Genomic DNA, 27,386 nt, shown 5'->3' with positions numbered 1-27,386 from the left:
ATTTTATATTGAATCACATATTTACTGAAATCAGAATTTAGAGAATTCTGGTGGTTTAAGAAATCTTCCTTTCTTGCCCCCATTTTACTAAATTTAACTGTGATGAGCTCATGATGAAGGGTCTTTGAGGAGAGGGATTGTTTTAATTGCTACTAGCTGTGAATACCAGTCATGAAACTAACAATCTCACCTTAAGTCCTAATTTGTTTTCTCATTTCCTAAATACAGGGTTTTAGTATGCCCAAACTTACCCTGTGTTACATGAGAAGGAGATGGTTGCACCAAATAATATGCCACCTGGTACATCAATCTGACCATTTCGTATTTCTCCCGGATTAGGGCATGATTTCTCTAGAATAGAATACAAATTGATTTTTTAAAATTAAATTATCAGGCATACACACAAAGAAGGTAACTATGTGAGGTGGTAGATATGTTAATTAGCTTGACTGTGTTAATCATTTCACAATGTGCACATATATCAAAACATCATGTTGTACACCTAAGATAATATTTGTCGATTATACCTCAATAAAGCTCAGGTAAAAATTTTGAAAAAATTATCAAGCACATATATGTAAATTCATCATCTGAACCATTGATATTTCTTATCCTTAGACTTTTTTTTTTTTTTTTTTGAGATGGAGTTTTGCTCTGTTGCCCAGGCTGGAGCGCGGTGACATAATCTCAGCTCACTGCAACCTCTGCCTCCCAGGTTCAAGGGATTCTCCTGCCTCAGCCTTCCAAGAAGCTGGGATTACAGGCATGCGCCACCACACCCAGCTAGTTTTTGTATTTTTAGTAGAGTCAGGGTTTCATCATGTTGGCCAGGCTACTCTCAATCTCCTGACCTCAAGTGGTCCACCTGCCTCTGTCTCCCAAAGTGCTGGGATTACAGGTATGAGCCACCATGCCTGACCCTTAGACTTCTTTAATTCTAATTTCTCTTTATAATAAGTTTTGAAAAAGCAACGAATTTAGAATATATACTTGTTTTATTTTAGGTAACCTCAAACTAATTAAATGTGAAATTTTTGAATGAATAAGTATTCCTACCACATAAATATTTAGTCTAATTCAAAATAAATTGACACTCATGGTCCTATCAAGAAACATCCTATATAATAATATATACACATAGAGTTCTAGCATGAATGAAGGAAGGGATACTATTTCCCCCAAACACCAGATGGTTGAAAATACTTTAAAAAATTTTACTCACTTTTACAAAATTCGACTGCTGTGGACCATTTTAAATTCTGAAGGCAAGTTAGTTTTGGTGATAGAGAAGGTTCTCTTCTGTAACCTGGACGGCACTCATATTCCACAACAGTACCGACTGGAAAATAATTCTGAGTGATATAAGGCTGTTTGAGGGATGCAGAATTTAGCCTTGTTGGCACCTCGCAGCTACCTAAAAGTATTAACAAAAGCAGCAACAAAAAATGTAGTATCAATTTTTGTTTTATAATCTATATTTAATTATCTGGACCCTAATAACCCCCTTTCTTTACTGCTTTGCGCATATTTAGTACTTAACTATATTAATATCACCATGGCACTTGCAATGTAGCAAATGTATTCACATGTATACTTTGTTTCCTAGTTACTAGAGGCTTAGGAAGTAGAGTTGGTACACACATATCACTATCCCCACTTAAAAAAAAAAAAAAATTTAAGTTGCCTGGCCCAGTTCTGGCATTCAATAAATGTTGGTTTCCTTACCCTGCCCTAAAGAACTACACAGCACCATACAGTACAGGAATAGGGTATTTCCAGACCCCTGGACTAATGTCCTGCACAACAATAATAGCAGCTAATATTTATTTACGTACAAACTCATTTAATTCCCATGAGCCCTGGGGGCAAGGATGAGTCAATTGTATACATAAAGTATTTACACCTGTAAACAGATTGCCCACAAATTGTATACATAAAGTATTTACATCTGTAAACAGATTGCCCACAAATGTGAATCTAGAGAGGCATGGTCAAGTGGAAGGGTCATCATTGGATTTGTAGTCAGAAGACCCAAGTTTACACCTTGGTTTTGGCGTAAAAGCTGCTGCTCTTGAGGAAGTTATTAAACTACTGGGGTCTGTCTCCTCCGCCATAAAAAGAGTGTAAGAGCCCCAACTTACCTCATAAGGTTGTTTGGAGGATTGGATAAAGTAATAACATGGGGAAGAGTTAAAACATGATACATGTGCAAAGACTATGTACTTCATCCTACTGCCTCTATTGTGGATAAAAATAAAAAGTTAAAGCCTATTTCACGCATGGCTTCTAAAGGTATTTGTGCCAATTTCTGTATTTACAGTAGCTTCTATTGATTTAAGTTGTTCAAAGTCAGGTTATCGGGTCTCTTTATCTTTATCTCTACTCATATATCTCAAAGCTAATACAGGGCTATGTAAGTAACAGATTTTTTTCCTCCAAGATAATGCCAATATATATTTTATGAAATCAAAGGGCACATAAGGTGTGGATGACTGTATGTATATTCACCTAAAACAAGAAATCTTCATTTCTTTTAATTCTACTAGGTATCAGTATCAAACACGGTTACTGTGTTAGCCCCCAAACAACTCTTCACTGGGCCTCTTATTCATTTTTAACAATCAACCTATCTACCTGTCTATATCCCAGTTTATACATCTCTCTCTCCCTATATATATCTCTCTCCCTATATATATATATCTCCCTATATATATATATCTCTCCCTATATATATCTCCTTATATATATCCCAATTATATATCTCCTTATATATATATATCCCAATTATATATATCTCTCTCCCTATATATATATCCCAATTTATATATATACATATATTTTTTCAAAGTAGCAAGAAGAGAAGATTTGGAATATTCTCCACACAAACACCAAGTGTTTGAGGTACTGGCTATCCAATTACCCTGATTGATCATGACACACTGTATGCATGTGCCAGAATATCACATGTACCCTATAAATATGTACAAGTATAACAGATTTTGAAGTAAATATTGAGAGCTTTTAAAAATGCCACCACAGAGTTGTATTTGGTAAGTCCTACTTTATAAAATACTTAAGAAAACATATCATTTACGCTATGTGTCTCAAGGCAATTGCCAAATATATTTTATATGTTTACTCCCTAAACAATACCTATTGTTTATTTTCTCTACTAGTTCGTTCAAGAGGTACAGTGTTAGGAAGAAAAACTCTTAATGAAGCAGCAGGACCTACTCAGGGTGGTAAATGTCTTCAATTAGCTGGAGTGTGACGTGCCAACAGGGTATACCCTGGGGTTTAGTAACGCTAGAGAACTATCAATTACTAGTCACTCCAAAGGTATATAAAAATAAATTTAAGATACATTCCATTCCCAGAACTTTTCTAAAAAGATGAAGAACTTACGATTGCAGAACTCTTCAATATCTGACCATTGACTGCCCTTAAGGCAGATCACTGAGTCCTTCTCGCCAGGAATTTTCACAAAGCTTTCTTCACATTTGTACGTTATTACAGTATCCTCGGGAAAACTTGTACGGCCTTCCAAAGCTGGCTGGGCATTAGGTACATCTGGGGGAAGGCCACAGTCACCTAGGGAGACAAAAGCAGAACTGAAGGAAATGACTATCAAGTGTCCTCACAGTTGCTGTTTTCAAGACACAAGCCCCCTTGAAATGCCACACCTGAAAGAGATGACATGCAAGTTTGCAGCATCGTGTGCTCCACACGGCTGGACTCTGTCGAGAGTGGGGAACGGTCAGCGGTCTGGCCTCCCATCCTTTTAGACCAGCTTTTTGGGGGTTAAGGATACAGTCTCTTTGAGCCCTCCCTTTCGATTTTGCCAGGCTTGGCTGCTCCGCAAACCCAGCCGGGGCCTCTTTAACCCTCCACGCCGACCCCTAAAGCCAAGTCAGCTGGGGGCCGACACAGCAGGAGCCCCAAATGCTGGTGAGCGGCGAGAGCCTTAAAGGCACAGGACGGCGGGAACCACGACCGCGGGCCAAGCTCCCCACCTGCCAAGTCGCCGGCCCCTGTGCGTGTCTCAGAGACCGACTTGGACCTCCCACCCAGCCCAGGGGCTTCCCCGGCCGCCGGGCCCCTACTCACCCCACACGGCCGGCAGGCACAACAGCACCAGCAGCAGCAGCCGGGGCAGCTCCCCGAGGAGGGGCAGCGCCGCGGGCACGCTCGGCCGCGCGACGGTCATGGCGCGCCGGGTTAGAACAAGGACGCGCCGCCGGGACTCCGCCGAGTCGCAGCTACGCCCAGCGGCCGGAGCGAGTTGCAGTAAGCAGAAGCCTCGTGGCTCCGCAATACCAGTTAAATGAGTGCTTTGGGCGGGGTCTGGGCTGGGGCTCTGCGTCACCAAGGGTGGGACAAACAAGACGGGTGGAGTAGGGGTTTGTTGTGGTCAGAGGTGCGGTCAGAGGGCTCCGGCGTCATACGCCCCGGGGGCCCTAGACTCGGGGAGAGTGGGGAGGGGAAGGAGGAGGAGCTCGCTGGCAACACCCTCTGGGACTCACTCTCTCCACTGCTGGGTGGGGCCTGCGATGACCTGCCTTCTAGAAACCTAAATATCTCCTCGCTACGTAAACACAAACGGGGTGTAAACGGGAGAGGGGGAGGGGTGCTCAAGTATCGCAGGCCTTGCTGCCCGCACGTGAGTTCGTCTAAGCGGAGCATCCCCGCGCTTGAGTGCTGCCAAGGGGACCTGCAGGTGCGGTGGAGTTCGGGGGCTGAGACTCAGGCGCTGAGACGCGGTGCTCTACCCGCGTCTTGGGCCCTCTACTGGGAGGTCTGTCAAAGGCCAGCACGAGGGTGGGGAAATAACTAAGGAGGAAGGGCGTCATCTCCTAGAACACTCTCTAATGTGAAAACAGAGACCTGGGGAAACAGGTTGAATAACACAGTAGGGAGTGAACATTGTTCATGCCTTGTTCGGGTGGGAGTCATTTTCTTCACCCGGGTTCTCCTTATTTACGAAAGACACCACTTTGGGATTACTCCAGACTGACTGTAGAGAGAAATTCACCAGTGTGCGTGTGTGTATGTGTGTGTGTGTGTGTGTGTGTGTGTGTGCGCGCGCGCGCGCGCGCCTCGGGGCGGTGTGGGGTGGGATAACAATAAAAACAAACAGACCCCAAAACGCTGAATGGTGGTGGGGTGGATTTTAAGAGGAAGGCTTGTTACAAACCCTTTAGAATAAATAGCCTGAGGTTTGCAAGACTGGCCACACATTAGAATCACGTGGGGAGCTTATATATATATTTATATTTATATATTCATATATATTTATACATATATAAATATATATTCTTTAAGTTCTGGAATACATGTGCAGAACATGCAGGTTTGTTACATAGGTATACACGTGCCATGGTGGTTTGCTGCACCCATCAACCCAACATCTACATTAGGTATTTCTCCTAATGCTATCCCTCCCCTAACCCCCACCCTCCAACAGGCCCCCGTGTGTGATGTTCCCCTCCCTGTGTCTGTGTATTCTCATTGTTCAACTCCCACTTATGAGTAAGAACATGCAGTGTTTGGTTTTCTGGTCTTATGTTAGTTTGCTGAGGTTGATGGTTTCCAGCTTCATCCATGTCCCTGCATAGGACATGAACTCATCCTTTTTTATGGCTGTGTAGTATTCTATGGTGTATATGTGCCACATTTTCTTTATCCAGTCTATCATTGATGGGTATATGGGTTGGTTCCAATCCAGAGGCCCAAACTGCACCTTAGACAAATTAAATCAGCATCTTTGGGGATGGGACTGGGTATCAGGATTACTTAAAGTGCCACACTGTGCAGCCAGGTTTGAGAACCACAGACCTATATGGTACTGGTCAGAGTAAAGATCTATCCAGCTTAGGACCACCCCTGTCGAAAACAGAAAGGATATAGATGGCAAGGTGGGTTGCCCTTCTTCATAGAGAATAGCCTCAAGAACATGCTTCCCTGTAATAATTTATCTGGGTCTGGCTAGCAGAGTCCTAGCCTAGATTCCTTTTCCCTTAAATGCCTTACCTCGTTAAGTGAAATTCCCTACTTGGAATTATACTTTGGTCTATGGACCAGCTGTGGGGGTATTTGTTATATCCTATCATTATATTCTTTCCTGAAGGTTTTCTGATAGCTCTTTCCTGGTTGGTATGAGCTTTTTGAGGAGGAAAACAGCAATTTTTCAATCATAGCATTTTCTTTGACCCATACCTACTGTATAGAACCAAACCTTGTGTTGCCCATTGCTGGAGCCAATCCTACAGTGATTCCAAGCAAGGGACTACTGTAGGATTTCACTGAAACCTAACAATATTCGAACATTGTGGAGTTTAGAAGTTATGGTGGGGGGCTTTTAAAACCATCTAGTGTCATCCTCATATTTGATGTTAAAATATCTAACCTTTACTCCCATATTGGATATAAAAACACAAGGTATGTTAGGTCCTGGCAGTGTTTAGAAGTGGCATGAGGTCTTCATTTATTCCCCCAATAACCTCCAGTAACCTTAACCACCACTCCCTTCTGTCCTGCCATTAGAGATAGGTAATCTTCATTCCTGCTTGGGCTCACAGAATTGGTGTGAAAGGCAAGGTAGCATTATGAAAAAGACAGGTTCAAGCAAGACCAGTTATGCAGCTGTTAGAAGACTTAACATTGAAGTCTGTTAAAGCTCTCTACATGTTTATTATGTGAATGTCATAGCTTTATATGGAGAGAAAACAATGAGCTCTGCAAAGTGTCAAAAATATTATCTCTATCACACAGCTCAGTGACACTAAATGTCCTAAGCATTCACCTTCCAGCATACTTAGTTATTGGCAATAACTTTTTTTAAAAGGAAATTTTGGCCGGGCGTGGTGGCTCACGCCTGTAATCTCAGCACTTTGGGAGGCCAAGGCAGGAGGATCACCTGAGGTCAGGAGTTCCAGACTAGCCTGGCCAACATGGTGAAACCCCGTCTCTACTAAAAATACAAAAATTGGCTGGGCGTTGTGGCAGGTGCCTGTAATCCCAGCTACTTGGGAGGCTGAGGCGGGAGAATCACTTGAACCTGGGAGGCGGAGGTTGCAGTGAGCCAAGATCGCGCCATTGCACTCCAGCCTGGGGGACGAGAGCAAAACTCCGTCTCAAAAAAAAAAAAAGAAAAGAAATTTTACGAACAATTACTGGATAGAGTCTTAAGTAATAGTTACAATCAGCCAAATTTCAACATTCTGAGGGGAAGGAAACAAAGAAATCCACTATGTATTTACTCAATTTAGAAAAGAGATCTATGATAAAATCTAAGCATTCCTCAGAAAAAAGCAAATATGTGAATTTATAACTTACTAAAGATTATTTTAAATAAATGGCCTCATTTGTTGTGTTCCAGTTGCTTTATACACATTATACCATTTCACCAACACAACTTCATGAAGTGAAGATAACTATCCATATTTTGCAGACAAGGAAACAGGCTGAGAGGCTGTTTACCAAAGCCCATGCACTAACTAGCGACCAGGTCAGAATCTAAACCTAGTTTGATTCCAAAACCTGTACTTCTCCTGTCCTGCCGTACTACATTCTTTTTATTGGAATGAGCAAAAATTTCTTGTATGCAGAGGATGATGAATTAGGTACTTGGGGAGGTGATTTGGGAACCCAGGGGCTTATGATATGAGAAGTAGTTCCAAGGCTTCATACTTATCTACCAGAAACTATCAGTGTGTCCTCAGCTGAGTCACTGCACCTCTCAAGGGCTTATTTCTGCATTGATTAAATAGCATTTGGCACTAAAATAGTCTCTATAGACCTTCCAATCCAAAACAAGCTTATGTAATTAAGTCAAAATACAAAGAAAATAGGTTTATGATTTTGACAGAGCAAGGGACCACGGTTCTTACTCTTATCCCAGGAACCATACAATGACTAAATCAAAGACTGTTTAATAAACTTCCCTAGTATACAGAAACCCACTAAGTGTCAATACTTGTGTTTGAGAATCTACAATCTAGTAGGGAGGTTTTCCATGATAAATGCTATACAAATATCACAACCAAAGTGGTATGGGGCTTCAGAAAGGAAAGAAGGGAGTGTGGTAATTGGAGCGGGGAAGGCTAAAGGCCCAGTGATTCAACTAAATATGACAAGTGTCAATGCAATAGGGCAAAAATAGGAAAAGAGATGAGATACGAACAAAGGTTTGGGGTCAGTCCTGTTGATTCCAGGAATAGTAAGGAGTTTAGTTTAGGGAGAGTATGGAGAACTGAATTGAGGCAATGGCAATGGAACAAGAGGGTAAGAGAGGCTGGAAAGAGATTTGAGAGAGCCTTAAAGGCAAGGCCTGTGCCTTTTACACCATTCAGAAGCATTAAAGGACGGTTGACACTTGTAAGGAGGAAGCACCTGGGTAATTTGGAATTTGCATCTAAGATGCTGGAATGGGAATGGCTGTGTAAGCAAAGATCCAATTTAGCTAATTACAACAGTCCAGGTGTTTAGAGAACAAAAATGTCTTTTAGTTTTAAAATTAATAAATCTATATTAAGGAGTTCCAGTCCTGTTGCTCTGTAAAACTCCTGACACAATTATTATAGACTTTTGAATTTCCATTCCTGCTCTGACCAAACAAGTTTCAAAGTAATAAGCCACAGAATTTGGCAACTGATTAGATAAGGAACAGTGGGGAAAAAGATGTTGAAGAGGACTCGGAAGTTTGGAGTTTGTGAGATTAGCAGCCCTATTTAAAAGAACTATCCATATTCAGCTTTACACTTGTTGAATTTCAAATGCCTTGGCAGAGTGTCTACGTGGAAATGTCCAGCATGCGATTGAAACGGAGGCAAGATTGAGGTGGAGTGGGTAGAGATGTGACTGCAGGCAAGGTTTGAACCAAGGGAGCATAGCATGTGGAAATAGAGAAGCCCAAGGTGTGAGACTTGAGGAGCCCCACGTTAGAAAGTACAAATGACAGAGAAAGGGAAAGGAGAAGGTAGTGGAAAGGAAAGAGGATTGTGCAATTTCTTGAAAGCCAAGGAATACAAAACTGTGAGCAAATATTATCACCCTCATTGCAAGTGAACCAGCTGGTGTTTAGGGAAGTTAAGAAACTAGCCCCAAACCACATGGCTTGCTGGCAGTAGAACTAGTGCTTAGGATCTTAACACCTCTGTTAGACTGGCCAGGCAACATTCCTCCAGAAAATCTCCCTTGCCATTGCATCATACCTGGTACCTTCCTCTATGCTACCAAAGTATGTAATGTGCCTATCTATGCCTCACATCTGAGGAACCAGTCTATTTCATATTTACATTCTAACTCAGCCTAAATTTATTGCCAACTTATCTTAAAATAGCCAATGGGCGGGGGGTGGGGGTTGGGGGGAGCTTTATATTGAGGCATTTTTGTCATGCAGCTGCAAATACAGGTAATTCTGCTTCACAGAATAAGGGTATTTTTTAATAAATGAAAACAAATGAGTGGACTCTCCCATTTCTTATACATGAGTTCTTCAGGAATTCACTAATCAAGGTATCAGTGTATTGCAGCAGACATAGTAGTTTTTTTTTCACTAGGTGCAGGTTCAGCAGGACCTGGGAAAAAGTGGTCTAATTCCATGTGACATGTTCACCTATGAAATGGCATCCTGCCCTGCAGCTGACTTCCCTGTGTGTGTGAGAACAGGCTCAGCAGCCAGGGGGAAATGCAATGCTTGACTTATGTGAGCAAATATTTATTTGCCAAGATCTAACTTTCTGAGACAACAGTGAATTTTTGCTACCTCCACTTTGGAGGTAGGGGCAGGAACAAGAAAATGTGTGTGTGCACACATGTGAGACTGTGTTCATGTGTGAACTTCAAACACAAATTTAGGTTTTGCAATAGTAACATTATTTATAGGAGCAATTGGGAAGGTTAGGAATCTTGTAGCCTTTAGCTGCATGACTCCTGAGCCATAATTTTTAATCTTGTGGCTAGTTTGTTCATTTTAGTATGTGTGTGCAAGAATGTGAGAATATGTTTGCATGTGAGAGTGTATGCATGTATGAGTGTGTAAGCGTGTGTGTGCATGTATGAACGTGTGTGAGCATGTGAGTGTGCATATATGAATGTGTGTGAGCATGTGAGTGTGCATATATGAATGTGTGTGAGCATGAGAGTATGTGCATGTATGAATGTGAGCATGTGAGAGTGTGTGTGCATGTATGAATGTGAGCATGTGAGTGTGTGCATGTATATGTGTGAGCATGAGTGTGTGCATGTATGAATGTGTGTGAGCATGTGAGAGTGTGCGTGCATGTATGAATGTGTGTGTGCATGTGTGTGTGTATGAAAGTCTGAGCATGTGTGTGCATGTATGAATGAGTGTGCATGTGTGTGCATGTATGAATGTGTGTGAGCATGTGAGTGTGTGTATGAAAGCCTGTGTGAGCATGTGTGTGCATGTATATGAATGTGTATGAGCATGTGAGAGTGTATGTGCGTGTATGAATGTGAGCATGTGAGAGTGTGTGTGCATGTGAGAGTGTGGTCCAGCACCCAACCGCTCTGAAACACAAATTTCCCACTTATAAAACAGGTGTAATGATATTACCTCATAGAGGTTTTGTGAGGAATAAAGGAAATAATGTATGTAAAGCATTTGGCCCATTGCTTGGCACACAGTACTCTATAAATATTAACAATAATGAATGATCATGGGTGATGACATGAATGAATGTTTCCTATAACAAGACTTGGCCACTTTTCATGAAATCTATAAATACAGCCATGTCATGACATACAGTTTTAAAATTCTGTAAAAGCAATATGAAATTCTCATGTATTAGCAATGTGGAGATCATTTAGTTGTTTTCCTTATTCTTTCCCCACTCAGTAGTATTTTTCCTTTAGCAAAGATTAGGTCATTTACCAAGATTCAGAATTGTATAAACATTGGATTCTTTACCTCCAATGTAGTCCCATCTGCAGTTTGTTTCCCTTGATTTAACAGCTTGCAAGTTAAGCAGATTTACAATTTAAGCTTACTAGAATTGCACAAGGGTAAGGAGGGAAGAAAGAAGAAATTTACATTGAAGGGATCACCTTCCATTGATACTCTCACTTTGAGACTTAACCTTGGTTAACCATCCAGCAGTGCCATGAGTAAACTATTATTACTTACAATTGCACATGTTGGGACAGGTTCAGAGGGGGAAATGATTGGATAAAACAATACAGATGGCAAAGCCAAGCAAAATTTGAACCCAGTTCTGGGGAGATTTAAAATTATGCTCCGTCCACTCTACGTGTTACCTTTTATTTGTTGGTGCATAATGAAGACTAAAGCGTTCCTCGATCTTTCTCAAAGTGTTCATCGGTGAGTATTTTCCTAGCACTGTTCTTTCAGATGTCAAATAAAATCCATTTACCTATATGATGATCATTTCTCTAGGATAAATAGTACTTTCTCATATAGCCAAATGTTCTGCTATGAAGAAGGTAATTTACTTCAGACAAACAATAATTGCAGGTTTTGTTGAAAACACTTCTGTTTTCTCAAGTCCCCCATCTGATACCACCTCCTCTACTACTTCTGTGACATCCTTTCCCCCTCATGTTTCCAGACCATGTGGCCTCATTTTGATGTCATTTAGTCCATTAGCCCAAAGGTCTATAATAATTATGTCAGGGTTTGTTTGTGTGTGTGTCAGGTTTGCATGGAAAAGAACCAATTTAGAAACTTCTTACATAACAGAGACTTACCATATGACCTTATATTTCCAAGTATGGACCCAGGAAAAATAAAAATGTCTACAAAGATTTGTACATAAATGTTTATAGAAGCTTTATTTATAACAGCTACAAGCTGGAAACAATTCATAAGTAGCTGAATGGTTAAACAAATTGTGGCACTTCCATACAATGAATACTACTTCACATTAAAAAGGAACAAATTAATGATACACACAATAGGGATGAATTTCAAAAACTTGCTGAGCAGAGGAAACTAGGCACATAGAGTGGATATTATATGATTTCATTTATATGAAGTTCCAGAACAAGCAAAATCAACTTATGATGATAGAAATCAAAGTAATGACTATCGGGAGTGGGGAGTGCAAGAGGGTAGGAGAATTTACTGCAAAATGGCAAAAGGGAACTTTTGGGGGAAAATGTTCTATATATTTATTGGGGTAGTGGTTACATGGTGTATACATTTGTCAAGACTCGTGAAACTGGATAATTTGAATGTTTCCATTTGTTTTATGTAAATTATACCTCAATGAAGTTGATTAAAAATCATAAAATGGAATCAAAGGTCTCAGATGTGGAGTTGGTGGGCTTTGGCAACAGTGAATCAACTGGGTTATGTGTCAAGAATAGCACAACCAAATACACCTTTTCTCGTTTTGCCCCCTAATTTTGTCAATCAGTTTGAAGTAGTGTTAACCATGGATGTGAAATAATTTGAGCCCATAAAGAACAATATCAATGGGCTTTGCTGACTTGCAAAACACTGAGTTGTTATATATATGAGAAAATTGGCAAAATCACAAAACAATTATAAGCATATTGCATTAATCATTTGATGTGGATAGTGTAACCTTGGTTGTTTACTATATTCTGAGAGACACAGTGTTGAATCAGAATGCTCACCAATTAACAAGCCATCCACAGGAACTTCTGATGCAATTTCCCATGAAAGGAGAACCAAGGAGATTCTTTTCTCCATACTGTTTGATCCCAGCCTGTTCTCACTGCTCCATCTGAAGAGCTAGTGATAGGTTCTCAGAGCTAATGAGGTAATTTTATGGATCTTTTCCACATCACCTCTCACCTGCTCAATGAATCCCCACTAAATCTTGTGCCAGGATAATGTGGCAGACAGAAATAATGACAGCAACAATTTAGATGAATGTAGGACTTATCATCTCTGGGGAGTTTTTCACTAATATCTCACTTAATTCTCAGATCCACTCTGTGAGATAGGTGTTATTATTAACCTCTAAATGAATTTCAGTGATTCTCTAACAAGTCCAAAGTCATACACCTAATAATAATCAGGGTAAAGCATGAACCCACATCATCAACTGCAGGTTTTGTGCTTGGCCCATCACACCACCCACACTTCACAATAAACTACAAAATAAAAAGCAGATCCCTGCAAGCACCATATTTTAAAGGGTGTTGTGTATTTGGTCTGCTCACTCCAAGCACCGGATTTTTACTTTGTCAGTGGGTAATGTAATTGCCCAACAGATTCTTCTTGCCCACTGTCCAGATGGAACTGATTTATCCAGATGGGAATTACAGTAGACAAAGTTTAATACATGTAGAGCTGGCTAAATTGGAGACTGGAGTTTTATTGTTACTCAAATCAGCCTCCCCAAAAAGTCAGAGGCTAGGATTTTTGTAAGACAGTTTGGCGGGTAGGGAGCTAGGGAATGGGGAATGGTGATAAATTGGGTCAGGGATGGAATCACAGGGAGTCCAAGCTGTCCTCTTGCATTAAGTCAGTTCCTGGGTGGGGGCCACAAAACCAGATGAGCCAGTTTACCAGTCTGGGTGGCACCAGCTGGTCTATCAGAATGCAGGGTCTGAAAAATGCTTCGAACACCAATCTTAGGTTTTACAACAGTAATGTTATCTATCAGAGCAATTGAGCTTAGGAATCTTGTGATCTCTGGTTGCATGACTCCATAATTCCTAATCTTGTGGGTAATTTTGTTAGTTTTACAAAGGCAATCTGGTCCCCAAACAAGGAGGGGATTTGTTTTGGGGAAGGCTGTTATCATCTTTGTTTCAAAGTTAAACCATGAGCTAAATTCCTCTCAAAGTTAGTTCAGCCTGTACCCGGGAATGAACAAGGACAGCTTGGAGGTTAGAACCAAGATGGAGTTGGTTAGGTCAGATTTCCTTTACTGTCATAATTTTCCTATGTCATATTTTTCTCACTGTCATAATTTTTGCAAAGGTGATTTCAGTAATATAACTGGCTCAGATATATCTTTGTAATAATGTCTACAGATTCCATTAATTCAGAAATTTAAAAGAATAAGGTGCATTAAGAGAATAATTATACCCATGCTTCAGAATTTTACCAGTTAAGTTAAAATACATGTAAATAAATTTAAATGCAATATAAAATACATTCAAGTGTAGATGTAACGATAATGTCATTCTGCGGCCAGGTGCGATGGCTCATGCCTGTAATCCCAGCACTTTGGGAGGCTGAGGAGGGCAGATCATGAGGTCAGGAGTTCGAGACCAGCCTGGCCAATATGGTAAAACCCCGTCTCTACTAAAAATACAAAAATTAGCTGGGCATGGTAGCGGGCGCCTGTAGTCCCAGCTACTCAGGAGGCTGAGGCAGGAGAATCGCTTGAACCTGGGAGGCAGAGGTTTCCGTGAGTCGAGATTACACCACTGCACTCCAGCCTGGGTGACAGAGTGAGACTCTGGCTGGAAAATTAATAAAAACTATAATGTCATTCTGATGTTAATTACTAAACACTTGTTATGCCTGCTTAGATATTTTCTGCACTATAGTTACTTCCCATATATCATTATCAGTTGTCCTTCAGGGACAGTGTGGTTAAAAATAATCACTCTGGTGACTCACTAAGGTTTTGCAATTTAACCATTTCATGCCCTCTTAAATAGAAGTTATGTTTAAACTGTTTACTTCTTTCATTCTCCATTGTTTTTCTTAAGATTTTTAGCTGGAAAACCGGCCTGAGGAGGTAATCCACAATACAGAAAATTGATTTTGAGCAAAGAGATATTAGGCTTATATAAACAGAGATTTAGAATGTGCTTAAATATCCAACTACACAGGAATGGTTAAAAACCTTTTAGTACATATATACACATTATTAAGTATTATGCAATTATTAGTTATGTATACAAATAAATTTGTAATGGAATATGAAATGTTTTATTAAAATGTTTAAGCAAGGCCAGGTGTGGTGGCCCACGCCTGTAATCCCAGCACTTTGGGAGGCCGAGGTGGGCAGATCACAAGGTCAGGAGATCGAGACCATCCTGGATAACACGGTGAAACCCCGTGTCTACTAAAAATACAAAAAAATTAGCTGGGTGTTGTGGCGGGTGCCTGTAGTCCCAGCTACTCAGGAGGCTGAGGCAGGAGAATAGCATGAACCTGCGAGGCGGAGTTTTCAGTGAGCCAAGATCGGGCCACTGCACTCCAGCCTGGGCGATAGAGTGAGACCCCATCTCAAAAAAAAAAAAAAAAAAAGTTTAAGCAAGAAGAAAATTCAATTGTAACTGTGTATTAACATGGAAACAAAGTTATTCAAAGAAAAGACTGAAAAATGTTTTATTAAAATGTTTAAGCAAGAAGAAAATTATATCTTCTATATATAATATGATAATCAATTGTAACTTTGTATTAACATGGAAACAAAGTTATTCATAGAAAAGACTGAAAAAAAATAACCAAACTAAGGGTATGTGAATAAGTTTGCTGATTTTTTTCTTTGTATATTTTTTCCATATTGAGCATGCTTTATTGTTACATCTAGAAAGCTTTACTTTCATTTTAAAAGAAATCCTGCCAGCCAATTCATAATCATAATAGTTAAGTATTTGATTATGCTATGTTGTAACTTATTGAAACCTAGAAACTCATTTTTTCAAAGCAGATACTCTTACTTGAACTTTTTGAAATTTAATTCCCTTTTAATTATATCTAGCCTTTGTAGTTTGAAAAACTTTTCTCCTTGGTAGAAAGATAAAATGCAAATTGTTTCTGTAAGTCCTTGTGGGACTTCTCATCCAGGATCCAGCCAATTCCACTCTCACTTACCCCAGGCTAGTTTGAGATTTTGATAAATCTTATCCAGACTGCCACAATAAGCCGTTACTTGTTCTCTTCCTGTCAGCTGATTACATGTACAATGTCCAGATTAAGTGCACATGCTCAGCAATCACTTCCCGTTTTCACAAAATAAAGTCCAAGCTTCTTAGTCTGCTTTCAAGGCCATTTATAATTTGTTATTAGGCCTTTCCTGCTTTGATCTCACAGGTTTTATTTGTGGATGAACAAAATGTGCTATGCTCTAGTCAAATTACCTTCCTCGCTGATCCCTGGCATGCTATGGTTACCACCTCTGCGTGTTGATTCACTTACAAGGAATGCCCTCCCCAGCCAGCTGGTCCAATTAAATGCTTCCTTGGCTATCAGTCTGAAGGGTTTGCACTCTCTTCTGATCTCCTAGTGTAATACAGCAATTTCCCCTAAAGTATGCTTGCATTAGTTTGTGACATCTCTTCCAGTATTATGTTGAACTCCTCCTTAAATCATATAAGGTTGTTTAGCTCTGTTTCTTCTTCCCCTCAATTAGATTATAAAGCAATCTGAGACTCCCTCGCCTTCTGCTTGGACTGGAATCCTACCTCCCTCTCTTATGAGCTCCATGACCTGGACAAGTTACTTCATTTTAGTGTGCCTCAGTTTCCTCATTTATATAATAAAATGGAGATAATAATGTCTATCTCATAGAATTAAAAGAGATAATATGTAAAGAACTTGGGACAGTGCCTACTGTACATATAACACCAATTAAATATTAACTGCCATAACTTATTAGAAGGTATTTTAATGTAAGGATTATGTTTCATATTTCTTTATATCTTCCACAACAGTTGGAAAATTTTACTAGGGACTGATGAGTAAAGATTTATATATTTGTTGACTGTTTTATTAACAAGATTAACTTTTGTTAATAAGACTATCCCAAGCAGGCAAATCTTGGGGACTTTATTAATACTCTATGATGTATCAACATTGTATTATGTGCTGTGCATACATTCTTTTACTAAGCATTCACAATAATTCTTTTCCCACATGGCTTTTATATGTGGTTTTAAAAATTTAACTTTAGACTATGTATGCATATGCATGTGTACAGGCAATTTAAAAAGCCAAATAGTACTTTAAGGAAATGAAACAGTAGTTCCCCAACCCAACATCCCTCCAAAAAGTAGAAATATTCAGTAGGTATTATCTGTTGACTTCCTGTTATGAAGATTTTAATTTAACTCTCTTAACACTCCCACATCCTTCCAGCATAATTAATTGCAGTTTGAAATTAACATTGTATTTATTGTATTGGTACTATGTAAAAATTGTTAACAAGTTAGCATGTAGTGTATTATTAATTTCCTTTTTTGTACCAAATTCTTTATACTTTTAGTTGGTAATTGCCTGATTTTGTTGTTTTCTCATTTTTTTAATGTACCTTTTGCTAACTTTGCACAGAACCATATACTTCCTTGAAACATGGTCAAAAACTTTAGACAAACTGTGAGTTCCACTTTTTTCCTTCTTCTTTTCAGAGTACAAACCTCTTGTAGTTCTTCATTGTCATTCACCAGTCTGGACTTTCTGTTACATCATCCTGAGAATTACCTTGCCTCTTTAGTTATTATTGTTGGATGCCTGGCTTCTTGAACTCTTGTCTTCCTTTTCTTATATTTCTCCGCATTTCGAAGGTGTGTATTCTCCAATAGCTTCCTGGAAAAAAAGGGGCATGGGGAGGTAATTTTCTTTTTTAGATTTTTTTAAATTTTGAAAAGGCTTTTATTCTGCCTACAAACTTGATCGATAGTTAGTCTAGGTCTTAAAATCTAAGTTGAAACCATTTTCCTTAGGATTTTGAAGGCATTTCTCCAATTGACATCTAATTTCAGAATTACTTTCAGAATATTAATGTCATTCTGATTCTTAATTCTTTATGTTTGATTCACTTTTATTCTATTGAAAGTTATGGTTTTGTCTCTAAACTTGGAACTCCGAAATTTTAATCACAATGTGCCTTGTGTTAGTCTGTTTCCATTCACTATGCTGAACCATTCAGTCTAGAAATTTGTGCCTTCCAATTTTGGAAACTATTATTATATTATTATTTTGATAATTTTTTTCAGTATACTCTTTTTAGAACTCTTATTAGTCAGACTGTTAATCTTTTTTTTCTTTTTTTTTTTTTTTTTTTTTTTTGAGACGGAGTCTCGCTCTGTCGCCCAGGCCGGACTGCGGACTGCAGTGGCGCAATCTCGGCTCACTGCAAGCTCCGCTTCCCGGGTTCACGCCATTCTCCTGCCTCAGCCTCCCGAGTAGCTGGGACTACAGGCGCCCGCCACCGCGCCCGGCTAATTTTTTGTATTTTTAGTAGAGACAGGGTTTCACCTTGTTAGCCAGGATGGTCTCGATCTCCTGACCTCATGATCCACCCGCCTCGGCCTCCCAAAGTGTCAGACTGTTAATCTTAGAACTCCTATTAGTTCTCTAAACCTTGTATCTTTTCTATTTTTGTTTCTCATCTTGTTATATTTTCTTAAAATTTCTCAACTTTTATCCAGTGCTTCTGTTGAACTTTTATTATTGCTGTAATATTTGTAATTTCCATGAGCTCTTACTTATTCTCTGAATGTTTTTAACCAGCATTATTTACTCATTTAACATATATAATATCTTCTTTTATATGTGATGATATTAAATATACAGGATTTTGCTTTGTTTTGACGGTGGTTTGTTTTCTTCTTCTGTTTGCATTGTCTGTCTTCCGAGTTTCTTTTTGTCCGTGTTTGTTAGTTTTGTTCTCTGTATTTCATGTTGGAGGCCTCCTCAAGCATCTTATGATCCATAATGTTTCCTTCAATATTTACAAATGAGACTCCAACAAGCTAGTTGTAAACTGTGTGTGTTTCCTGGTTGGCTTCAGTGTAGGGTTATTGGGTTGGGAACTTGACAGTGTGGGAAACAACCCCATATGTTAGCATCTAAAAGTATTTTCTCTTAGTCTCATTCATTTCCCTAAAAAGAAATCCTCTGAAGTCTCACCTGGAATGGAACAGAGAGGTATAAGCCTGGCTACCAACATTCTGGGATCTTAGTCTCACCAGGGAGTTACAGGTCTCACCATTCAATGTTTGCCTTTCCTACCCTTCTTCTTTCACTGTCAGTTTTCCTAGAGTTGAGAACTACTCTGATTTTGATTTTTCCATTTAATGCCCCTTGCCTCTTCTCTGGATAGGAGAAATGGCAAAAACCTTCTTTGTCAAACAGCACTTCAATTAGAAGCAAAACCATTAGTGCTTTGTGCGCACATTGAGCAACTGGGATCCTTCAGGATTGGCTGCTCTCGAGAAAGAAAGCTTCCCACGGGTCACCACACCCCACCCCACTACTTTATCCACAGGGAAGCAGCTGTATCAAATGGCCAATGGTCCTAGTTCCTGGCAGAAAGTAAAAGCATGATAATAGTCTCCTAAATGCTCTGCATATGAGAAGCGTCCTTCAGGTCTGTCGACTTTATATACACTTTCAACTGATCCTCCTATTTTCAGTTTAATTCCTAATCTCCAAAGGTTCTTTGTGCCTCCAATTTCTGAGCCTTTCTGGGGTTCTGCAGCATAAACAGACTGGCTACAGGCAGGAAGGTTTTAGCTTTCTACTTTCTGCTAAATCGGTAACAATTCAAACACCTTTCTGCATCTCCTCTGCCATTTATTCTTTTGTGTTTTTATGCCTTTAAAAAATTATTTTTAATTTTAGTTAAAATGACACTGTAATTTTAGTGGCATTTTGAGAAAGAGTGAAAATAAATACGAATAGTCACTTATTTTTTCAACAGAAGTCACTATATATATATATACATATACTATGTATATGTGTTACTGCTTAACCATTTCATGAAATGCTCTCTATTATCATCTTAAGAACAGAGACTCCTTTATCAGCTATATGAATTTAGCATCTGGCTAGGAACTTTGGAAAAACTGGATATGTCAAAATAGAGAACAGAAGTATATGTTGAATAATCTTCTTTGCCCCTGGAATAGAAATACCTAGCAAATAAGGCAAACTGTGAATCAGCTTTTCCCTCTTAAATGGCTTAAAGAGGGGGCTCTTCTTAACCAAAATGCTACCTAAAATGCAACAAAGTACATCAACATATGTCTTTTGCAAAGCCAATTAACTTGTAATTTATATTTTTAAAAATATTCAGATATGACTCATGTTTCTTAATAAAATTCCTTGACAAAAAGTGAATTCAAGGCCCAGGGTTTGCTGGAGATAACAATCCACCTGGTAAGACATGGATTTAGACTAATTTTTAATCACTAATTTTATGTTTTCCATGTTTAATATGTTTAATCACTAATGTTTATCATGCTTCTACTTTGTGCCAGGAACTAGGACCATTGGCCATTTGATACCGCTGCTTCCCCATGGATAAAGTAGGGGGTGTGGTGGCCCATAGGGAGTTTTCTTTCTCGAGAGCAGCCAATCCTGAAGGATCACAGTTGCCCAATGTGCGCACAAAGCACTAATGGTTTTGCATCGGATTGAAGGGCTGTTTGACAAAGGTTTTCGCTATTTCAAATACGTAACTGGAGTCTAAGTTTCCAAAAGGTGCTCCCAAGATAAAAAATTTCTGTGATGATATCAGCTTGCACTTAATGGACAAACCAGATTCTTTGAGAAATGTCAGTAGTTTTAATTTAGCAGCTGAAATCTGAATATGTTTCAGTGTTTCTTAGTGAAGCCTTTTCTGCTGCGAAGGATCCACAAAGTCCAGTGTAATTTCAGGATAAGCAGATATGATGTGTGGAGGGTGCAAACTGGCAGTCTGCATGCTGCTTCCAGAACGTGATGTGCATTGCTTGCCTAGGCTCCAGCCTTTCCACCTCAGCTGCTTTGCCCTTTACCTAAGATGTGATTTATTTATATACCTGCCTAACTCATTTTACTTCAGGATGGAGATTAACTATTATCAGCTTCAGGAAGTCTTCCGTAACCTTCCCACACACCTTGAACAATATTCTATTATAACATTTAACAAATATCTGTAATTGTTTTTGCCACTAGACCATGGCCTCTCAAGGACAAAGCTTAGGAATGAGTCATATTACCGCTCAACTAATACAGTGCATGACATATAAGATAGAGTCAATAAACATATGAATGAATGGACAATGAGTGACGCTGCCAAGAACAGAGATTTAGTTTAGTTCCCTTTCCTTTGATTAGCAATCTTGGTCTAGGTGTTATGTACGTAACAGCCATCATCTTATGGGCTTATAATAAAATAAATAAAACAATAAAATAACACGTCACTTAGCTATAAATGAATGAGTAATGTCTCTTAATCTTTCCTATTAATTGTGAGTCATAGGATCTGGGCATGGTACATAATATGTCCCATCATAATATTAAATATATTGCAGGGCGGTACAAACAAACCATTCTATCAGGCATAGAGAAGAATGATGTAGAGCCTAAGACTAACATAAACTCAAAGGGCAGAAAATAAGACAAAATATGCAAGCAAGGTAACAAACTGCATGCCATTTACCAGATTATAGTTCATTTTCCATTTAAAATTTAAATTATATTTAAATTCCATTTAAAGTAAAAGAAATGGTTAAAAAATACCAATCCAGCTATTGCGGGAAGTCAGGAACCCCGAATGGAGGGATCAGCTGAAGCCATGGCAGAAGAACATAAATTGTGAAGATTTCATGGACATTTATTAGTTCCCCAAATTAATACTTTTATAATTTCATACGCTTGTCTTTACTGCAATCTCTGAACATAAATTGTGAAGATTTCATGGACACTTATCACTTCCCTAATCAATACCCTTGTGATTTCCTATGCCTGTCTTTACTTTAATCTCTTAATCCTGTTATCTCGTAAACTGAGGAGGATGTATGTCACCTCAGGACCCTGTGATGATTGCGTTAACTGCACAAATTGTAGAGCATGTGTGTTTGAACAATATGAAATCTGGGCACCCTGAAAAAAGAGCAGGATAACAGCAATGTTCGGGGAACAAGAGAGATAACCTTAAACTCTGACAGCCAGTGAGCCAGGTGGAACAGAGCCATATTTCTCGTCTTTCAAAAGCAAATGGGAGAAATACTGCTGAATTCTTTTTCTCAGCAAGGAACATCCCTGAGAAAGAGAATGCGTCCCTGAGGGTAGGCCTCTAAAATGGCCGCTTCGGTGGGCGGCCGTCTTCTATGGTCGAGCTGTAGGGATGTAATAAGCCCCAGTCTCCCATAGCGCTCCCAGGCTTATTAGGACGAGGAAATTCCCGCCTAATAAATTTTGGTCAGACCGGCTGTCTGCTCTCAAACCCTGTCTCCTGATAAGATGTTATCAATGATAATGCATGCCCGAAACTTCATTAGCAATTTTAATTTCACCCTGGTCGTGTGGTCCTGTGATCTTGCCCTGCCTCCATTTGCCTTGTGATATTCTATTACCTTGTGAAGCACGTGATCTCTGTGACCCACACCCTATTCGTACACTCCCTCCCCTTTTGAAAATCACTAATAAAAACTTGCTGGTTTTGCGGCTCAGTGGGCATCACGGAACCTGCCAACATGTGATGTCTCCCCTAGACACCCAGCTTTAAAATTTCTCTTTTGTACTCTTTCCCTTTATTTCTCAGGCCGGCCGACATTTAGGGAATATAGAAAAGAACCTACGTGAAATATCGGGGGTGAATTTTGCCCGATATCTGGCTGAATTTCCCCCGATATCCAGCCTGACCAGTTCTGTGGTTTCTATTAGTAAATGAAAACTATGCTTTTTCCACTCTGTCAGTTTCAGATTATTTCTTATCTTCCCTCTCGTATAAAGTTTCCCAGCTTCTGTGGAAATTGTTCCATTGAGCAATGCTACTGTTCAACACCTTCTGCTTGCTGTTAGGTACTGACCTCTCTTCAACCCTGCTTTTGATTTATAAAAACTTCAACACCCTCAGAGTCTTCCTGTCTGTCCAACATCCACCCATTTTCAGGATGACATCATATCCTTATTTGATACTCTGGTCACTTACTGCCTTGACTTACTAACTTCCATGGACCTCCTCCATGTCAGCCAGTCATTCCCATAGACACACCCTGGAAGATGTCATTGTCTGGAATTGCTCCAACTCCAAAAACATTTTTTCAAACATCAGTCTCTCTGCATAAACTTTAATCAAATGACTCTCAACCTATCATTCTTTGTCCTCATTGAGATCTTCCAACTCATAGATTCTTTACTTTGTATCTTCCTCTCAGTTCCTGTCTGTCTTCATTTCTTCCTCTCCAGATTGACATTCTATGGCCCATCACTTCCTCCTTCTTTTCAATGCCCTTATCTTTCCTATCTCATTTTTCTGTTGTATGTGCCTGGCAAAATGCCAGAGGTAGATGAACCCTACTGTTGCCCATTTCTAAATCTTCAGATGATCTGCTGGAGAAAATAAGACAACCAAATGGACACTACACCATCTTAACTGAACTTTGAACACAGTATATGTTTCTTCATCAACCCTCTGTCCCATCCTCCCCCTCACCTATTTCACACTTTTTTCGCTTTTCTCAAGTTTCCACCCTTCCTCTCAATACACCTTTCACTGAGCCTCCATAGATTTCCCCTTCTAATTAGCAGATGTAAGGCGAGCATCAGCCTTCCTACAAACATGCTCTTAAAAGCTTAATTTCCCTAGACTTTTAGGAGAAGGAAGGTTTTGCCTCTCAGGCTTCTGGAAGTTGTTTTTCATGCATTGCCTGAGTCTCCTCTTCTTTCCAAACTCCATCAAGGAAAAGCCTCCCTTACTGCTGGCTGCCTCCCTGAATACCTGGGTACAGCCTCTTCAAAGTCCCGCCTGGGTTTCAGCAGAGGGGTGGATGTAAGGCAGGCCACACTTTTTTTTTAAACTTCATACAGTTATTCCTTGCAATGGTATCAGGTAAAGCTATCCTGATGTATTAGATTTTTCTGAAGAGTTGGTGGTAGATACTCTATTATATGAGGGAAATTAAAAATGCAAATAAAATAAAAACAATAACAAAAACACTTGGCTAAATATACTGGTAACCATAGTCCAAGAGAAAATAAGAAAAAAGTCAACTTATTCTCAAGAGGTACCCTCATGGTCAGATCCCATTTAATAGCATTGGTCCGTTGTCCTACAGAGCTACAGATCAGTCCTACCTTTCAAGAGCTCCTGCTTCTTCAAACCTTTGCAGTGTGAATATCTGTCCCAATTTAAGGATACTCCAGTACCCACCTTTGGGGTTTGGTCTGGCCATGGGATCCAGACCCCAGTCCCCAGTCCCCAGGCAATGCATGTGTGGAAGTGATTTGAAGGAACAATTGTCAGGTCCAGGAGGAAGGAGGTCATGTCTATCTTATTCAGTCTTGTAATCTAAAATCCAGCACAAAGATTGAGAGATAGTAAGATTTCAATAAGCATTTGAGGCAACGAAGAAAGAAGGCATAATGAAGACAGTCTCAATGCTGACTTTGCCTAAGTTACGTATTGAGTATGTTTTGTGTTTTCTTATGGCAAATGCAGCCAGTCCTTGACTTCATCTCCTTTTCCTTAGCCTCCCATCTAGTTCCTTTGGAGTTCAAGTGAACCTCCTACAAATGTCCATTTATTCTTGGCCCTGAAGTTCTTGGACCACCTATGACTAGCAGAATAATTGTGGACTCTGCCACCTATCAATCATCCTTGCAGAGTGCTATATTCCTGACATTTACCCCCAACCCTACACTTAATAGTAAATTAATATATAGTTGAACAACAGGCAACAAATTAATGTTAACATTCCCCTATAATTTATGAGCACTACTCCCTCCCTGGTAGCATACAAACACATCTTCATTAAAGAAGCTTAACATTTTGAGAGGCAGCAATTCTTTTCCATATCTAACTAATGGATAAACTAAGGGAATGGAGAAAAGGGTGTCAGTAACAGCATTATACATGATAATAGAGCCCATAGCTTTTGGCTCCCAAATGTCTGCTCTAACTGCAAGACCAGAAACTCCCACTGTGATCTGCTAGAACCTGTGCAAAATAAACAAACAACCTTTTAGCTCAGAGGAACTAGCTGAGCTATGTCTGTATAAGACAGAGGCACAGAGAATCATCTGCTTTAAAGAGAGATTATTTTTTTCAGAATTCTGGGCTTTTCAACATCTCTATTTTCTAATTACTTCACTCTTAGACCACAGTTTGCCTGAAGTTTCCATTTTTTCTCTGTCTTAAAAACTATTTTTGGTCTCAGTTCCACATGTGGCTCTGTGTGTGTTTGCTATGTGTTATAATAATGATGTGACACCGTTTTCACATTGCTGGTATGGGAGAATTTTTGAATTTCCTATATAAATATGTAAAGTTCACAGAATTTGTGCATGTTGTTATAAAATTGTTATTGGATTTATTGGGAAGCACACTGACTCTCATAACTTGATCCAAGGATTTTCCTGGGCCAGCATGACAGGTCTTATACTGGGTTTTATAGTCAGTCCCTCAATTGCTATCAGTCTAAACTAGCGGTTTCCAACCCAGTATTACAACTCATTTTGAACATCAAAACCTGGATCCTTGTATAAATAGTAGGTTTACTTTTTAGTGCCCTTTGATTAAAAAATATATAATGATAAAAAGCTAACACAGATTCAGAAATATAGTACTTTTAAATGTATTCTGCTTATTAATCAAAATAGCATCCATATACTTTCATAAGTATTAGTCTATTAATTTGTCCTACAGAAAATAGTTTAACCAAGCATGAAAACTCCTAGACTCCGTAAAATTCCTGCAACCCCTTACTGGGACTCAAGGTTGCCCTCTTCTTTTTTCTTTCAGTCTTCATTTACCTCTGAGATACTGCCGGTCTCCTTCATGCAGACTACAAAATCCCATTCTCCTTTACTTCTTTCAATTGCACTTTCATCCTCATGAAACTTCTCATGCCCATTCTTCAGTATGTTCTTTTTAATTCAATAAGTTTAGATTTAACATATTGAGCACCTATTATGTGTCAAGTACTGTGCTAGGCACATCCATGCATAATTTCATTTAACCTCACAATAATTCTTCACAGTAACACTTTGAGGATGTTATTATATCACAACTTTAGATAGGAGGAAATTAATGACTTGGTCAGGTTGCAAAGTGGTAAGTAAAGGAACCTGAATCCCGAGCACTACCTTGGAGGCCTCTAGTATTTCCACAGTACAGAATCTGCTATTGTATGTCATAGTACTCTCAACACCTGTGTGAATCACATATCAATGTAGTAGGTCTTCTGTACCAATTTCTAGGCCAGGTGCCAGATGAGAGCAATAAGATCAAGTTCCACACATCAAGGTTCTTATAATCTAATAAATATAATGAAGTTGTAGATTTTTAACCCATTTCCCATTTGCCCTGAGAATACTCTTGTCTCTAATCCTTATAACATCATATACATTTCTGTTGCATTAGGATTAGAGACAAGTTCTATTTAGAAATAACTTCAAGAACAGTTTCTATATTTTATTTTTATATTGAAAATCAGTCAGATTTGCTTCAGCCTCAAAGAGCATGTTTATGTAAAATTAAATGAGCATGGGCAGCAAGCTGCAGGAAATGAGTTAAAAAGATGACTGGGCACATATAAAAGCGACCTGTTATTGCAAATGTAATTTATCTAGCATTCTAAACAGTTAGTCAAGTATAGTTCCCTCTTATTCACATAATAGGGATTTACTATATATAACCAGATTCATAGAATAAAAGCATGCAGGATCAAATTGTAGAGATGCTATAGTTATTTCAAATTCAGCACCCGCTAACATCTTGCCAGGAATATGTGGCCTCTGTGGAAGTCCTTGTAACCAGGCAAGCACCACATTGCCATGGCATTGTCTCTTCAAACAAAATAAGGCCCCAGTGTCTTCAGAGAGCTGAGGCTACTTTGGACTTCAGATCAAATTGGAGTCTAAAGAAGTCAACCACAAAGCACACCAGAGGCATATATGCACTTATGTGCCCACAAATAGAAATATGTGGCTTCCATTGTTAGTATTCTACATGCATTATTTGCTCTCCTTCTAAGGTGTCTATTTTGTCTTCTGAAAGAAGAGTGGAACTCTGAGAGTAAATATTTATCTTGCAAAGCATGATTGGCTTTTTGTAATAATGGAGTAAACAACTCAAAAGAAATGAAGTAAGTCTAAGAGGTGGAAAGCTGTGGTTTTTCTGGCATGAGGAAAGGCTTAAGTATGGAAGAGTTTCAACTGATCAAGCAGCAGTAAGTATGCAGGAACTGGGTACAGTTTGAAGAACGAAAGTACTAATGTGTGAAGATGGAAATCATTATTCAGGCATGAGTATGTTTCAGCAAACATTGCCAAAGCTGTTCTATTGACATTTTAAGCTTGTATTAAAATGCTGCCAATAGAAAAGGAAGGAAGGCATTTCTGCCCAGCTGCGATTTTCATTTTTCTTTGAAACGAGGTTCTCTTATGTCCCCAACACTTCCCAGTCTAGCACAAAGTCCTGAGCTGAGAATCAAGAAATGCGAGTTCTGGTACCAGATCTCACATTAACTAG

The 27,386-nt window shown here is 39.3% G+C and overlaps 1 protein-coding gene and 2 long non-coding RNA genes across 10 annotated transcripts in view, besides 3 other annotated features; 1 reads left to right on the top strand and 2 right to left on the bottom strand.

Moving 5' to 3' along the window:
• Positions 1-4,295, bottom strand: part of CD55 (CD55 molecule (Cromer blood group)) — a 39,289-nt gene extending 34,994 nt beyond the window's left edge. For all 7 annotated transcript variants that reach the window (NR_125349.2, XR_007095644.1, NM_001114752.3 and 4 more), the window contains exons 1-4: positions 4,108-4,295; positions 3,406-3,591; positions 1,223-1,414; positions 252-351 (exon numbers count right to left, since the gene is read on the bottom strand). Coding sequence is in view for 5 of the 7 variants with exons in the window: in NM_001114752.3 (NP_001108224.1) it covers positions 252-351; positions 1,223-1,414; positions 3,406-3,591; positions 4,108-4,207 (578 nt within the window). In the remaining 2 variants the exon portion in view is untranslated. The remainder of the gene's footprint in view (positions 1-251; positions 352-1,222; positions 1,415-3,405; positions 3,592-4,107) is intronic.
• Positions 3,844-27,386, top strand: part of LOC107985251 (uncharacterized) — a 195,120-nt gene continuing 171,577 nt past the window's right edge. For both annotated transcript variants that reach the window (XR_007066838.1, XR_007066837.1), the window contains exon 1: positions 3,844-4,287. This is a non-coding gene — a long non-coding RNA (uncharacterized LOC107985251). The remainder of the gene's footprint in view (positions 4,288-27,386) is intronic.
• Positions 4,020-4,099: a silencer, noted in NCBI's record as "silent region_1770". NCBI's record gives its function as "represses an Ori minimal core promoter by ATAC-STARR-seq in GM12878 lymphoblastoid cells {active_cell/tissue: GM12878}" and the evidence as "EXISTENCE:reporter gene assay evidence [ECO:0000049][PMID:35858748]".
• Positions 4,660-4,869: an enhancer, noted in NCBI's record as "active region_2440". NCBI's record gives its function as "activates an Ori minimal core promoter by ATAC-STARR-seq in GM12878 lymphoblastoid cells {active_cell/tissue: GM12878}" and the evidence as "EXISTENCE:reporter gene assay evidence [ECO:0000049][PMID:35858748]".
• Positions 8,560-9,389: an enhancer, noted in NCBI's record as "H3K27ac hESC enhancer chr1:207489929-207490758 (GRCh37/hg19 assembly coordinates)". NCBI's record gives its function as "activates a minimal SCP1, AML or CMV promoter by ChIP-STARR-seq in naive H9 embryonic stem cells {active_cell/tissue: H9 hESC(naive)}" and the evidence as "EXISTENCE:reporter gene assay evidence [ECO:0000049][PMID:30033119]".
• LINC02942 (long intergenic non-protein coding RNA 2942) overlaps positions 11,792-27,386 on the bottom strand; it is a 74,070-nt gene continuing 58,475 nt past the window's right edge. The window contains exons 3-4 of the long non-coding RNA NR_186170.1: positions 24,066-24,203; positions 11,792-17,506 (exon numbers count right to left, since the gene is read on the bottom strand). This is a non-coding gene — a long non-coding RNA (long intergenic non-protein coding RNA 2942). The remainder of the gene's footprint in view (positions 17,507-24,065; positions 24,204-27,386) is intronic.

Source organism: Homo sapiens, chromosome 1 (assembly GCF_000001405.40).
Source record: "Homo sapiens chromosome 1, GRCh38.p14 Primary Assembly".
Lineage (NCBI taxonomy): Eukaryota > Metazoa > Chordata > Mammalia > Primates > Hominidae > Homo > Homo sapiens.
This window is presented reverse-complemented; position numbering and strand designations above follow the sequence as displayed.